The sequence below is a fragment of the Homo sapiens genome, chromosome 11 (assembly GCF_000001405.40).
Source record: "Homo sapiens chromosome 11, GRCh38.p14 Primary Assembly".
NCBI lineage: Eukaryota > Metazoa > Chordata > Mammalia > Primates > Hominidae > Homo > Homo sapiens.
The window spans coordinates 57510507-57524414 of record NC_000011.10 but is presented as its reverse complement, the minus strand read 5'-3'; the positions used below and the strand labels follow the sequence as shown (position 1 = coordinate 57524414).

At 49.3% G+C, this 13908-nt stretch overlaps 1 protein-coding gene across 7 annotated transcripts in view, besides 1 other annotated feature; it reads left to right on the top strand.

Annotated features, from left to right (window-relative positions):
- Nucleotides 8490-8559: an enhancer, noted in NCBI's record as "active region_4719". NCBI's record gives its function as "activates an Ori minimal core promoter by ATAC-STARR-seq in GM12878 lymphoblastoid cells {active_cell/tissue: GM12878}" and the evidence as "EXISTENCE:reporter gene assay evidence [ECO:0000049][PMID:35858748]".
- Nucleotides 8713-13908, top strand: part of SLC43A1 (solute carrier family 43 member 1) — a 31169-nt gene continuing 25973 nt past the window's right edge. For 2 of the 7 annotated variants that reach the window (XM_011545320.4, XM_005274358.6), the window contains exons 1-3: nucleotides 8713-8971; nucleotides 9214-9315; nucleotides 10291-10457. In XM_011545320.4, coding sequence (XP_011543622.1) covers nucleotides 9281-9315; nucleotides 10291-10457 — 202 coding nt within the window. In that variant the 5' untranslated portion in view covers nucleotides 8713-8971; nucleotides 9214-9280. Of the gene's footprint in view, nucleotides 8972-9213; nucleotides 9316-9505; nucleotides 9635-10290; nucleotides 10458-13908 lie in introns of those variants that run through there. The other 5 variants (XM_017018452.2, NM_003627.6, XM_047427777.1 and 2 more) reach the window with 3 other exon arrangements.

The window sequence follows — 13908 nt, the reverse complement described above, 5'->3', positions numbered from 1 at the left end:
CAAAACTGCACTCTAGCCTGAGCAACAGAAAAAGACCCTGTCTCAATTAAAAAAAAAAAAAAAAAAAGGAAAGAAAGAAAAAAATAGGTAAAGATCCTTGATTCTTGCCCTCTTGGAACTTCTATTCTAGAGGGGGATGGTTTTTCACAGTAGAAGTCTGTGTTGACAGCGCTGTTTAAAGCTCCTTCAGCATCTGGGGAAAAGGTTCTTCTTTCAGATCTTAGGCCTCTTTGAAAATCTGACAAAAGTCACAGCCTGTCTCCTGAATGCACATAGAATTTTGCATGCAATTTTAGAGATTTTCTTTTTTTTTTTCTTTTTTATTTTGAGACAGAGTCTTGCTCTGTCACCCAGGCTGGAGTGCAGTGGTACAATCTCAGCTTACTGCATCCTCCGCCTCCCGGGTTCAAGCAATTCTCCTGTCCCAGCCTTCCAAGTAGCAGTATTACAGGTGCCTGCCACCATGCCCAGCTAATTTTTGTATTTTTAGTAGAGACAGGGTTTCACCTTATTGGTCAGGCTGATCTCAAACTCCTGACCTCAGATGATCCACCCGCCTTGGCCTCCCAAAGTGCGGGGATTACAAGCGTGAGCCACTGTGCCAGCCACAGTTTTAGAGATTTTCATAAGAGCTCTTGTGGGCTGACCTAAGAGGAGTCTTGTGACAAGCATCGTTTTAGGTGCTGGGGCAAAGAAGATAGAAAATCTAAACCAGTTGCGGTCAGGTACAGTGGCTCATGCCTGTAATCCCAGCATTTTGGGAGGCCAAGGCAGGAGGATCGCTTGAGGCCAGGAGTTTGAGGTCAGCCTGGGCAGCATAGTGAGACACTCATCTCTACCCGCCCCTCAAAAAAGAGATGTTCAGCAGGGTGTATAAAGGAATGTGTCCCATTGTCTTGGTGCTCAGGGAAGACTGCCTCCCAGAAGGTAATAGGTGAGTGAGATTTGAAGGATGGTTAGGAATTTGTCAGGCAGGAGGCATGGTGGGTGGTGAGTTCTGTGTTAAGTGGTGAGAGGATAGTGGTGAGGAAGGTGGGCAAAGGCCCTTGCCCTCTGAACTGTCAGAGGAACAAATATATGATGAGTTTTATCAAAGGGAAACTCAGATGTTATATAGGTTACATTGCAAAAGGATTCATTGCTGGAGTCAGGCTAGTTACTACAAGAGGTCAGGCACTTAAAGGAAATGATCATTAAGATCTGAAGTGTTGCCTGGGCACAGTGGCTCATGCTTGTAATCCCAGCACTTTAGGAGGCCGAGGAGGGTGGTCATTTGAGGCCAGGAGTTCGAGACCAGCCTGGCCAACATGGTGAAAACCCACCTCCACTGAAAATACAAAAATTAGCCGGGCGTGATGGTAGGTGCCTATAGTCTCAGCTACTCAGGACGCTAAGGCAGAAGAATTGCTTGAACCCGGCAGGCAGAGGTTGCAGTGAGCCGAGATAGATTGCACCATTGCACTCCAGCCTGGCAACAGAGCAAGACTGTCTCAAAAACAAACAAACAAACAAACAAACAAACAAAAGATCTAAAGGGTTAGTTGGCTAGGCTAGTGCAGAGAATGTTCCAGCCCAGGAAGAACTTGAGGTAGGAGAGAGCATGGAGTATTAATGGGTGTGAAGGAGGTTACCATGGCAAAGACACAGAGGGCAGAGGGCAGACCCAGATGGCACAGGACTCAGGGGCCATCATTGGGAGTTTGTGCATTTCCCCGAGGGTCACAGGAAGCCTTTCAAGGGATGTGGCCTGATCAAATCTACATCTCGATTAGTCCATTCTGATGGGCTATTGGGGTCATGTTGCGGGGGTAGGATTGGGAAGACCCGGTTAGAAAGGTTGCAGGAGTCCAGGCCTGAGCTGATGGTGATCTGGGCTTGGGGGATGGTAGTAGCTGGAGATGAGAAGTCTTTACGTGGTAGGACCCACAAGCTCGCTGATAGGCTGGATGTGGAGAGTGAGGTGGGGAGAAAGCCTGGGATGACTTGAGTTTCGTGTCTTAAGCCACTGGGTAGAAGAGGGTGGTGCTTTTATGATACGGGCAACAGTGGAAGCAAGCAAGTTAGGGAGGAGGAAGGTCAGTTTCGGTCGTTTGAGATTATTGCATACTCTTTATTGTCTCAGAAGATCCAATGTAATTAGTGTTTTACCTTTCCAGCTGCAACCTCACACCACAGGCTCTGCATCCTATGTGCTTTGTTCACACCAGCCCTTGATCAGCTCTCGGAATGTCTCCGCATCCTCCTGTTGTAAGATTTTTCATTTGCTGTTTCCTCCTCTGGAGGATTGATAAATTCTACTGATTCTGACATGGAAAACTCTGAGCACAAGCATCACCCTGAAAGATTCCTCCCTGAGCCCCAGTCTAGATGAAATTCCCTTCTCTAAGCGTATGTTCTCATGGCACCATGTCTTTCTTCCATGGCGCTTCCTATAGATGATGTAACACTTGATTCATCTGTGACTCTCTCCTGCTGGGCTCTGTGTTCTCTGAGGGTAGGGTCTGTGTCTTATTCAGCATCGAATCCCTAGTGCCTGACACACGCAAAGGTTTTTTTTTTTTTTTGTTTTGTTTTTTTTAAATTGAGATATAATTCGCACACCATACAATTCAGTCTTTTAAAGAATACAATTTAGGCCGGGAGTGGTGGCTTACACCTGTAATCCTAGCACTTTGGGAGGCTGAGGTGGGCGGAGCACTTGAGTCCAGGAGTTCAAAATCAGCCTGGGCAACATAGCGAAACCCTGTCTCTACTAAAAATGCAAAAATTGTCCAGGCATGGTAGCACATGCTGTAGTGTCAGGTACTCAGGAGGCTGAGGCAGGAGGATTGCTTGAGCCTGGGAGGCAGAGAGATTGCAGTGAGCTGAGATCGTGCCACTGCACTCCAGCCTGGGTGACAGAGCGAGACCTTGTCTCAAAAAAAATAAAATATAATAAAGTATAAAATTCAGCATGTTGTATATTCACAAAGTTTTACAATGATCACCATTATCTAATTGTACAACATTTTCATTACCCCAAGAAGAAACCCCATACCATTAGCAGTCATTCCACATTTCCCATTATCTCCTCCCTCCAGTCTCTGGCAACCACTAATCTACTTTCTGTCTCTGTGGATTTGCCTATTCTGGGCACTTCATATAAATGCAGTCATACAATATGTGGTCTTTTGTGTCTGGTTTCTTTCACTTAGAATAACATTATCAAGGTTCATCCATGTTGTAGCATGTATCAGTACTTCCTTTTTATGGCCAAATAATATGACATTGTATGGGTATACCACATTTTGTTTCTCCGTTCATCAGCTGATGGACTGCTGGGATGTTTGCACTTTTTAGCTGTAATGAATAATACAGCTATAAATACTTGTATACACATTTTTGTGTTAACAAATATTCTCAATTCTCTTGGGTGTAGTATATTTAGGAGTGGAATTGCTGGGCTATAGTGGTAACTCTATGTTTAACTATTTGAGGACCTGCCAAACTGTTTTCCGAAATGGCTGCACCATTTTATGTACATTCTTCATGCAGAGATTTTTTTTTTTTTTTTGAGACAGAGTCTTGCTCTGTTGCTCAGGCTAGAGTGCAGTGGCACGATCTTGGCTCACTGCAGCCTCTGTCTCCTGGGTTCAAGCGTTTCTCCTGCCTCAGCCTCCTGAGTAGCTGGGATTACAGGCACATGCCACCACACCCAGCTAATTTTTGTATTTTTAGTAGAGACGGGGTTTCACCATGTTGGTCAGGCTGGTCTCAAACTCCTGACCTCAGGTGATCTGCCCACCTTGGCCTCCCAAAGTGCTGGGATTACAGGCGTGAGCCACTGTGCCCAGCCTAAATATTTATAATAGCTATTTGTTAGGCTAAATAATTCATTAAATAATGAATTGAATTGGATACTTTTATTTTCAGCACTTAACAGACTAGAAGAGTGAGGCTCATGAGATGGAGTGATTTGGACAAAATCACACAAATAATCAGCTGCAGAGCCAGGATTTAGACCCACCCTGTCTCAGTGCTCTTGTCCATTAAGCTGTGAAGCAGCCTCTAGCCAGGAGCCCACATGACAGCCAATGTGATAATGCTGTTATACTTAACCTATGAGTAGTGTCAGGAGAACAGAGTTTAGGAAGGAATTAGTTTTGGGGGTAGAGGAGAACGTTGATAAATCCTATTGATTCAGATATGGAAATATATCTCAGGTGTCTTTCCTCTTCTCTGTTTTTTATTATTTTATTTATTTATTTAGAGACAAAATCTTGCTCTGTTGCTCCAGGTGGAGTGCAGTGGCACGATCTCAGCTCACTGCTACCTCCGCCTCCCAGGCTTAAGTGATTCTCCCACCTCAGCCACCTGAGTAGCTGGGATGACAGGCATGCACCACCACTCCTGGCTATTTTGTTTGTTTGTTTTATATTTTTTGTAGAGACAGGGTTTTGCCATGTTGCCCAGGCTGGCCTTGAACTCCTGGGCTCAAGAGATCTGCCCGCGTTGGCCTCCCAAAGTGTTGGGATTATAGACCTGAGTCACCATGCCTGGCCTATTTTTTATTGTTTTAAATGGGAATTATTTTTGTTTGTTTGTTTCTTCTTGGTTTTTTCTTTATTTCTTCTTAAAACAAAACAGGATCCATGTGCAGAATGTGCAGGTTTGTCACATATGTATACGTGTGTCATGGTGGTTTGCTGCACCTATTGTCCCGTCCTCTAAGTTCCCTCCCCTTACCCCCCAACCCCCACTCCCCAACGGGCCCTAGTGTGTGATGTTCCCCTCTGTGTCCATGTGTTTTCAATGTTCAGCTCCTACTTATGAGTGAGAACATGCGGTGTTTGGTTTTCTGTTCCTGTGTTAGTTTGCTGAGGATGATGGCTTCCAGCTTCATCCATGTACCTGCAATGCAATGGCACGATCTCGGCTCACCGCAACCTCTGCCTCCCAGATTCAAGCTATTCTCCTGCCTCAGCCTCCTGAGTAGCTGGGATTACAGGCATGTACCACCACGCCTGGATAATTTTGTATTTTTAGTAGAGATGGGGTTTCTCCATGTTGGTGAGGCTGGTCTCAAACTCCTGACCTCAGGTGATCCGCCTGCCTCAACCTCCCGAAGTGATAAGATTACAGGAGTGAGCCACCATGCCTGGCCTCATTCCTTTTTATGGCTGCAAAATGTGAACTATTATGGTGGTCTCCTAACTGCTTTAAGGTCTCTGTCCTTTCCAATATATGCTCCATTAATTAAACACAAAAACCTGACGATAACGCTACCCTTCATTAAAAACAAACAAAACCAAAAGAAAACAAAATCCAGGAGTTTCCTGTTACCTACCCTGCAAGACTGAAAGTCCTTGGCCTCCCAGAGGTAATTCCAAACTGATTTTAGCCTACCTTTTCAGCTTCCTTTCCCACCATTCCCTTTTCATTTATTCAACAAATGTTGGCCGCAAGCTTATTAGGCGCCAGGCCCTGTGATAGGCAGCAGGCACACAAATCACCTACCACGTGGTGGTTCCTGCCCCCACAAGATGTACATCTCATGGGGCGGGATGGGGGCAGAAAACTAAGCTGATTATTCTAGATCAGTGTGGGGACTTCCATAGAGGTAAGCAGAGTATTTGGTGGGTATGTGGACAAGGCCCTGAATCCAGCCTAGAGTAGAGCTTCCAGAGAGAAGTGAAACTTGAGCTGAGTTGTGAAGGATGAGTACATTAGAAATGAAGAAGGAGGCTGAGCGCAGTGGTTCATGCCTGTAATCCCAACACTTTGGGTGGCCAAGGTGGGTGGATCACGTGAGGCCAAGAGTTCAAGACCAGCCTGGCCAACATGGTGAAACCCCATCTCTACTAAAAAAATACAAAAAATGGCCGAGTGCAGTGGCTCACACCTGTAATCCCAGCACCTTGGGAGGCCAACGTGGGCGGATCACGAGGTCAGGAGTTCGAGACCAGCCTGTCCAATATGGTGAAACCCCGCCTCTACTAAAAAATACAAAAATTAGCCAGGCATGGTGGTGCGCGCCTGTAGTCTCAGCTACTTGGGAGGCTGAGGCAGGAGAATCACTTGAACCCGGGAGGTGGAGCTTGCAGTGAGCCGAGATCACGCCACTGCACTCCAGCCTGGGCAACAGAGTGAGACTCTGTCTCAGGAAAAAAGAAAAGAAAAGAAAAAAATATCAGCTCACAGGTGGTGGTGTGCACCTGTAATCCCAGCTACTTGGGAGGCTGAGGCATGAGAATTGCTTGAACCTGGGAGGCAGAGGTTGCAGTGAGCTGAGATCGTGCCACTGTACTCCAACTCGGGCAACAGAGCTGGAATCTGTCAAAAAAAAAAAAAAAAGAAATGAAGGAAATCTGTCATTCCCACAAGAAGGAATAGCAGGTGCAAAGACTGGGAGGTGTGAAACCAGCTGACTGACTCTTCACTGCACATGTGCTGAGTGCCCCTTAGGTGAGGTGCTGTTCTGGGTGCTGGGATACACAGCAGTGAATGAACACACCAAATGAGGCCTGTGTCCTCATGCAGCAGACAGTCCAACTCCATGGAAATGTGGGTTGAGATGAGGAAGAGCAAGTGTTCCAGCCATGGGGGTCCATGGACCACTAGAGCCTCATGGAAAGGGTCCATGAAAACCTTGAAATGTGAATGTTGATGAGTGTGTGTGTCCATGTTCACACAAGCATTTTTGTCAAGAGTAGATCAATAACATATTTCTTCTTTTTTTTTTTTTTTTTGAGACAGGGTCTCTGTCACCCAGGCTGGAGTGCAGTGGCGAGATGTCGGCTCACTCCAGCTTCCTGGACCTCCCAGGCTCAGGGATCATCCTACTTCAGCCTCCCCAGTAACTGAGACTACAGGCACATGCCACCATGCTCAGCTGAATTTTTTGTAGAAATAGGGGTCTCACTATGTTGACCAAGCAGGTCTTGAACTCCTGGGCTCAAGTGATCCTCCTGCCTCAGCCTCCCAAAATGTTGGGATTACAGGCATGAGCCACTGCCACCGCGCCCACTGTCTTTTGTATTCTCAAAGGGATCCATGACTCTCCTAGCTTAGAAAGTTGACTCTAGGTCCCCCTGTGTAGAGCTGAGGAGTTTGACCTTGATCTGGAAGTTCTGGGAGGCAGTATTGCATTTTAAGAAGTTAAACCATCAGAGCCTGACATGTGCTTTGGCCACCGAGAACTCCTTGTGCCATTCCCACAGCTAAGCCTTTGCTCTTGCCATTCTCCTTCTGGGAGGAATGGAAGGAGCCGTACTTAAATGCCAGGCCGACCTGACTCTGCATCCTACCTCTAACCTTGCTCCAGCTTCAAGCCTGCAGTTTCTCCCTCTGTGAAAAGCTATGAGGTTTAAATGGGACCATGATGTCTTGAGGAATTAATAACAGTATTTTTATTTTGGAAAGTGCCCTGTCTATGGTAGCCATTAGTTCCTCTCTTGGCTTGGTGGCTCATCTGTTCAGGGGTTCCCTTTTATCTGAGGCCTTCTTGGAGCTTTCTGTAGTCATTCTTGTTTTGTTTTTGAGACAGAGTCTTACTCTGTCACCCAGGCTGGAGTGTAGTGGCATGATCTTGGCTCACTGCAGCCTCCATCTCTCCAGCTCAGTGATCCTCCCACTTCAGCCTGCTGGGTAGCTGAGACTGCAGGTGCACACCACCATGCCTGGCTATTTTTTTTTCTTTTTTGTAGAGACGGGGTTTCACCATGTTGTCCAGGTTGGTCTCGAACTCCTGAGCTCAAGCGATCCTCCTGCCTTGGCCTCCCAAAGTTCTGGGATTACAGGCATGAACCACCACACCTGGCCACCAGTATCACTCTTTTTTTAAAAAAATTTTATTTTTATTTTAAGTTCTGGGGTACATGTGCAGAATGTGCAGGTTTGTTACGTAGGTAAATGTATGCCGTGGTGGTTTATTGCACCTATCAACCCATCACCTAGGTATTAAGCTCAGCATGCATTAGCAGCACTCTTAACACACAATTAAACTCACATGTAATGAGATTACTTCTCATTACTCCACACCATAGTAGTCTATTTTACAGATGAGGATACTGAGGCTCAGGGAGGCTGAGAGATTTACCTGGAGTCAATCAATTGTTGATCTGGAAGCATCCGATCACCAGGTCTTCTGAAATAATGACAGCAGCAACAATTAACATTATGCTTACTATGCCAAATGCTATGCTTAGCATTTTACCTGCATCACAATCGCGATTCCTTTGGGCAGTTAGGTAGGTTCCATTTTAACCGAATTTAAAGAGGAGGAAGCTGAGGCTCAGAGAGGTAACTTGCCCTAGGTAACCCAGGGTAGTCAGTTAAAAAGTCAAGACTCAGACCTCGATCTGACTAACTCCAAAGAAACCCGTGCCACTCTGCCTCTCGGAAAACACTGCTTCCAGCTGCACAGTTCAAAACCCCACCCAAGGCGGCCCTGAATCGCGGTCAGTCGGCTTCAGCCGAATCGCACTTTGTTTTGAACAAGGATACAGAGGGCGCTGCCTGATGTTAGTCTGGGGGCTTGGGGGAGAAGATGGGGGTCCAGGGTGGAAATGTAGGTGCTGGGGCTGTGCCAGAGGGAGAGTGTCCGGGACCAGCGGGCGAGTCACGTGCGCGTGAAACTCGACCTAAGGGGAGGGGAAAAGAAGGGAGCCCCCGCCCCCACCTCGGGGCGCAGCTCCGGACGCGTGTAAATACAACTATCAACTCCGCAGATCCACTTCATCCAAGCCCAGCTTCGCAGACCTCTGGCGCCCGGCGGGTTCCCAGTTCCCCCGCTTCTTCCGAGGAGACAGCGGAGGCGAGGCCACCGGGCTGTCAGGCTGAAGCTCCGTGGCCGCCGGGTCCTGCACGCAGAGAAGACCCCAGCGCCGGCGCGGCTCAGGGCTGGGCCCACGGGACTCCGGACGCGCCGCGAAAGCGTTGCGCTCCCGGAGGCGTCCGCAGCTGCTGGCTGCTCATTTGCCGGTGACCGGAGGTGAGCAGCGTGGGCGGGGAGGGGGCGCGCGTAGGGTCTCCGGCTATGCGTCGGCTGAGAGACACCGAGGCCGGCTCCCGCCGACACTGCCAGGCTTCCCAAGGAAAGACCGTTACTTGCGCCCGCGGTCCCGCGGCACAGTGTCCCATCTCGCCAAGCGCGTCCTTCCCTTTTCTTTTCTCTGACCCCTCCGACTCTTCTCTTCCTCCCGGGTCCCCGCTCGCTGCACTTCCTCTGCTTAGAGCTGCGCGTTTGCCAGAGTTCCAGCGGACCTCCTGGAGCGCTTGAACCCAAAGCCCCGTTTCACAGATGAGAATACCGAGTCCCCCTGGAAGAAGTGACTGGTACTTCCTCCCCTCTCTCTGGGTCTTTCTTGCCCTTCTCCTCTCCGCTTTCCTCGGTCTCATCCCAGTTGTCGCTCCCCGCCCCCGCGCCGCCCGCGTTCCCTCTCCTCCCGCCGAGGCTGCAGCGGCCGCGGCGGGGGGAGCTGGGGCTCTTTCCCTCCCTTTGGTAAACACACCCGCCCGCCAGCCCATCCGCCACCGCTGCCCTTATAAAGTCAGCAGCCGCCAGACTTCCTGCCGAAGTCCGAGCCCCCTCCCGGGGCTGGAGGGGGGCAAGCGGGTTCCGAGGTGCAAAGCCTGGTGCCCCGAGCCCTGCGGAGTGAGTGAGGGGCGCGCGGGGGAGGAGGGAACCGAGGAGAGCCCGTCCTGGGTCTCCCTCCACGTGGCAGCTGTTGGCTTGGCCCGAGAGACTGTAGGGTCGTGGGTCACCTGATACGGAAAGGGGGAGGGCTTGCTGTCGCCCGGCCCCAGAGGGAAGGAGAGGTCTTGGAGGGGCAACTGGAAGATGGGGTCGTAGGGTAGCCTTGAACTTGCCCTTCTTCCTGCCAGCTTCTAGGGGTCTTTCCTGGCGCGAGAGTCCGGACATGGGCCCGCGGTGCTTCAGAGCGCGCTCTGCCCCTTGCTGTCCTCTGGGGACCTGGGCAGATGCGGACTTTCTCCCCAGCAGCCCGGCCCTGAGCGCCCTGGCCTGGGTGAGAGAACCCGGCAGCCTGCTAGGAAGCTGCAGCGCGCAGACAGGACCTTCCTTGTTTCCGATAGTGGCTCAGCGGGAGCCCCGTGCCGCGTGCACCTCTGGCACTGCTAGTGCGCGCGGAGCCAGCTCCTTGGCACCGGCTGGGAAGCCCAGGGCTCTATGGGGCCTCCATGAGGGGCTCCTCGCGGGCTGGCCCGAGAGGTCTCGGGTGCCACCATGATGCAGGACCCTTCCCTGGGGCCACTGGGGGGCCCTTCACCCAGCGCTCTGTTTCTGTGCAGGCTCGGGGCCAGCATGGCCCCCACGCTGCAACAGGCGTACCGGAGGCGCTGGTGGATGGCCTGCACGGCTGTGCTGGAGAACCTCTTCTTCTCTGCTGTACTCCTGGGCTGGGGCTCCCTGTTGATCATTCTGAAGAACGAGGGCTTCTATTCCAGCACGTGCCCAGGTATGCCTGAAAATGGGCTGGGTGGGCTGGGGGGAGGGATGGCAAAGGGGCAGGTGGAAGCCAGAAAAGGTTAGGTGGCCAGGTGGACAGAAAGCAGGGTCAGCAGTTGGACAGCCTCACTTCTCGACCTCTTCAAACTTCAGGGGGAGATTGGGTGGCACTCTGCCCACTGTTTCATTTATCTAATCCAGTGGTCACTGAATGCCAGGTGTCCTGCTGGTCATCCAGACCCTGGGACTAATAGGCAGAGTCCTAAGCCTCTGACAGCCTCAGGTCTAGAGCTCTTTGAAGGAGACGTGCTGGGAGAGGAATTTCTTAATAGGGCTATCATAAGACAAGGGAGAGCTGCACAAAGTGGAGTATGAATATAAAGGGCCCCACATCCTTCCCTTTTCAGGAGCTGGGAGCCCCCAGGTTTTCAAATTACTCATTTGGACAAAGTTACATAGCCTCATTTACTCTAGGAGGGCATTGTGGAGAGTCTCTGGTTTCCACTTCAATCACCTTGTGTGAGTGGCCCCGAAGCTGGGAGTGGGAATTCTAACACTCTTTGGGAGCAGTAACTACAGCCATAGGCTGTCTGCAGCTGCCTTGGGGCAGGGAGTTACCACTGCTGGTGTCTAGGACTTGCCTCTGATGGGTATCTTCCTATTCTGGGAAGGAGAGAGCTGTGCTGACAAGCTCCGCCTCAGGAGCTGGGTGGAAATGGAATTGGGCTCCCCTCTCTTTTTATCCCCTTTCCCCAACCTCTGTGTTGTGGAGTAAGCTTGGAAGGAAGTTTAGCTTGGATTTGAATCCCAGCTTCCATCACTTTTATCAGTTGGTGACTTCGGTGAGTTCCTTAAACATTGAGCTTCAGTTGCCTGGTCTTCAGAATGGGGATAATAATATCGATTCCGTGGGAGTGCTGTGAGAGTCTGCAGTGCTTAATAAATGTTAGTGTCCTTCTCGTTGCTCCTGGCTTCTCGTTTCAACTCCTTCCTGCACAGCACCTGATGTGGCTATGGAAGAAAACCGATTCCTTGAGGGGTGGAGATGGGGAGGTCTTGATCACTGCTCTGAACAGCGGCTGCTCCACCCCAGGATCTGCCGCATCCAGCCATGGTTATCTGTAAAGATGCAACAGATGGCACCGAGAGATGGCGACTCTCCCATGCCTCCTGGCCCCAATTATGGGGTGACAGGGGCTGGAGGAGGTGGGGTTGGCAGCCAGGCTGGGATGGCTGGGTGGGTTGGGAAGAAGAGGCCTGACATGAAATGATACACATAAGAGTGGCTGCAAGAACCAAGTGGAGGGCTATTAGGGACCCACATGGCATCTAAGTCCCCTATGAGTTTATCCTGGAGATAGGAGAGACCCTGCCTGCCCTTGACACCTGCCACTGTCCCCTATGTAACTTTTTTTTTTTTTTTTGAGACAGAGTCTCACTCTGTCACCCAGGCTGGAGTGCATTGGCATGATCTTCGCTCACTGCAACCTTCTCCCCCTGGGTTCACGCGAGCACGTCTGGCTAATTTTTGTATTTTTAGTAGAGACGGGCTTTCACCATGTTGGCCAGGCTGGTCTCGAACACCTGACCTCAAGTCACCCACCCGGCTCGGCCTCCCGCAGTGCTGGGATTATAGACATGAGCCACCACTCTTGGCCTACCCCTTGTGTAACTTCTTCCTGCCTTCTCCACCTGGTGCTGGTGGTGTTTCTTTAAAATCAACTTTCTTGAAGATTACATCATACATTTTGATGAGGTCTGACAAATTTATATGCCTCAGTACCCACCACACAATATTTAGAACCTCCTCAAACTCCTGCTTCTCTTTAGAGGGCTCATCCCTCCACCTGCATTTTTAAATATGTAAAATATGTAAAACAGCTTTATTAAGATATAATTTCCATGCCTCACAAGTCACCCATTTCAAGTATATAATTTAACAGTTTTAGTATGTTCAGAGTAGTGCAACCATCACCAGAGTCCATTTCAGAACAGTTTCTTTATCCCCAAAAGTAACTCTGTACCATTAGCAGTACTCACTCGCCTCACCCCCACCTCTGCCCCCAAGCACTAGGCAACCACTCATCTATTTCCTGTCATAGCTTTGCCTGTGATAAAAGTTAGATTTACCTATTCTGAACATTTCATTTAAATGGAATCTTGTAATATGTAGCCTTTTGTGATTGGCTGCTTTCACTTAGCATAATGTTTTTGAGGTTCATCCTTGTAGCATGTATCAGGACTTCTTTTTATTGCTGAGTAAATACTCCATTGTATGGATCAACCACCATTCTATTTATCCATTTGTCAGTTGATGGAGATTTGGGTTGTTTTCACATTTTGGCTATTATGAATAATGGTCTGGCTGGGTGTGGTGGCTCATCTGTAATCCAAGCTTATTTCAAGGCTAAGGCAGGAGGATCACTTGAGGCCAGGAGTTTGAATGTGCAGTGAGCTATGATTGTGCCACTATACTCCAGCCTGGGCCACAGAGTGAGACCCAAATGTTCTTCTGGACTTTTTTTTTTTAATTTTTTTGAGACAGGGTCTCTCACTCAGTGACCCAGGCTGGAGTGCAGAGGCACAATCACAGTTCACTGCAGCTTCAACCTCCTGGGCTCAAATGATCCTCCCACCTCAGCCTCCAGAATAGTTGGGACTACAGGCCCGCATCAACACATCCAGCTAATTAAAAAAAAATTTTTTTATAGAGACTGGGTCATGCTATGTTGCTGAGACTGGTCTCGAACTCCTGGGCTCAAGTGATCCTCCCTCCTGGGCCTCCCAAAGTGTTGGGATTATAGGTGTGAGCCACCCCGCCTAGCCCTTGTAAAGTTTTTAATGTCGAGGTATGCTTTCATTTTTCTTAGGAATTGCTGGTCAGTTGCAAGGGTAACTATGTTTAACATTTTGAGGAGCTACCAAATTGTTTTCCAAAGTGGCTACACTATTTCATATTCTTAAAAAAATTTTTTTTTTATTTTTGAGACAGAATTTCTCTCTTGTTGCCCAGGCTGGAGTGCAATGGCGCTATCTCAGCTCAGGGCAACCTCCACCTCCTGGGTTCAAGCGATTCTCCTGCCTTAGCCTCCCAGGTACAGGCGCCCGCCACCATGCTCGGCTAATTTTTGTATTTTTAGTAGAGATGGGGTTTCACCATGTTGTCCAGGCTGGTCTTGAAATCCTGCCTCAGGTGATCCACCCCCCTCGGCCTCCCAAAGTGCTGGAATTTACAGGCGTGAGCCACTGTGCCTGGCCTCCTTTACATTTTTTTAAATTTAATTTTAATTTTTTAATTTTTAATTTCTCATATATATATATTTTTAAGACTAGCCAAGTGAAGCAGTGGGAGTGGAAAAGGAACTGGTTTTGATCAATAGGTGTAAACACCACTGCACTGGGACCAGCCTATTTTACATTCCTGTTAGCAGTGATGAGGGTTCACTTTCTTTGTAGCCTCA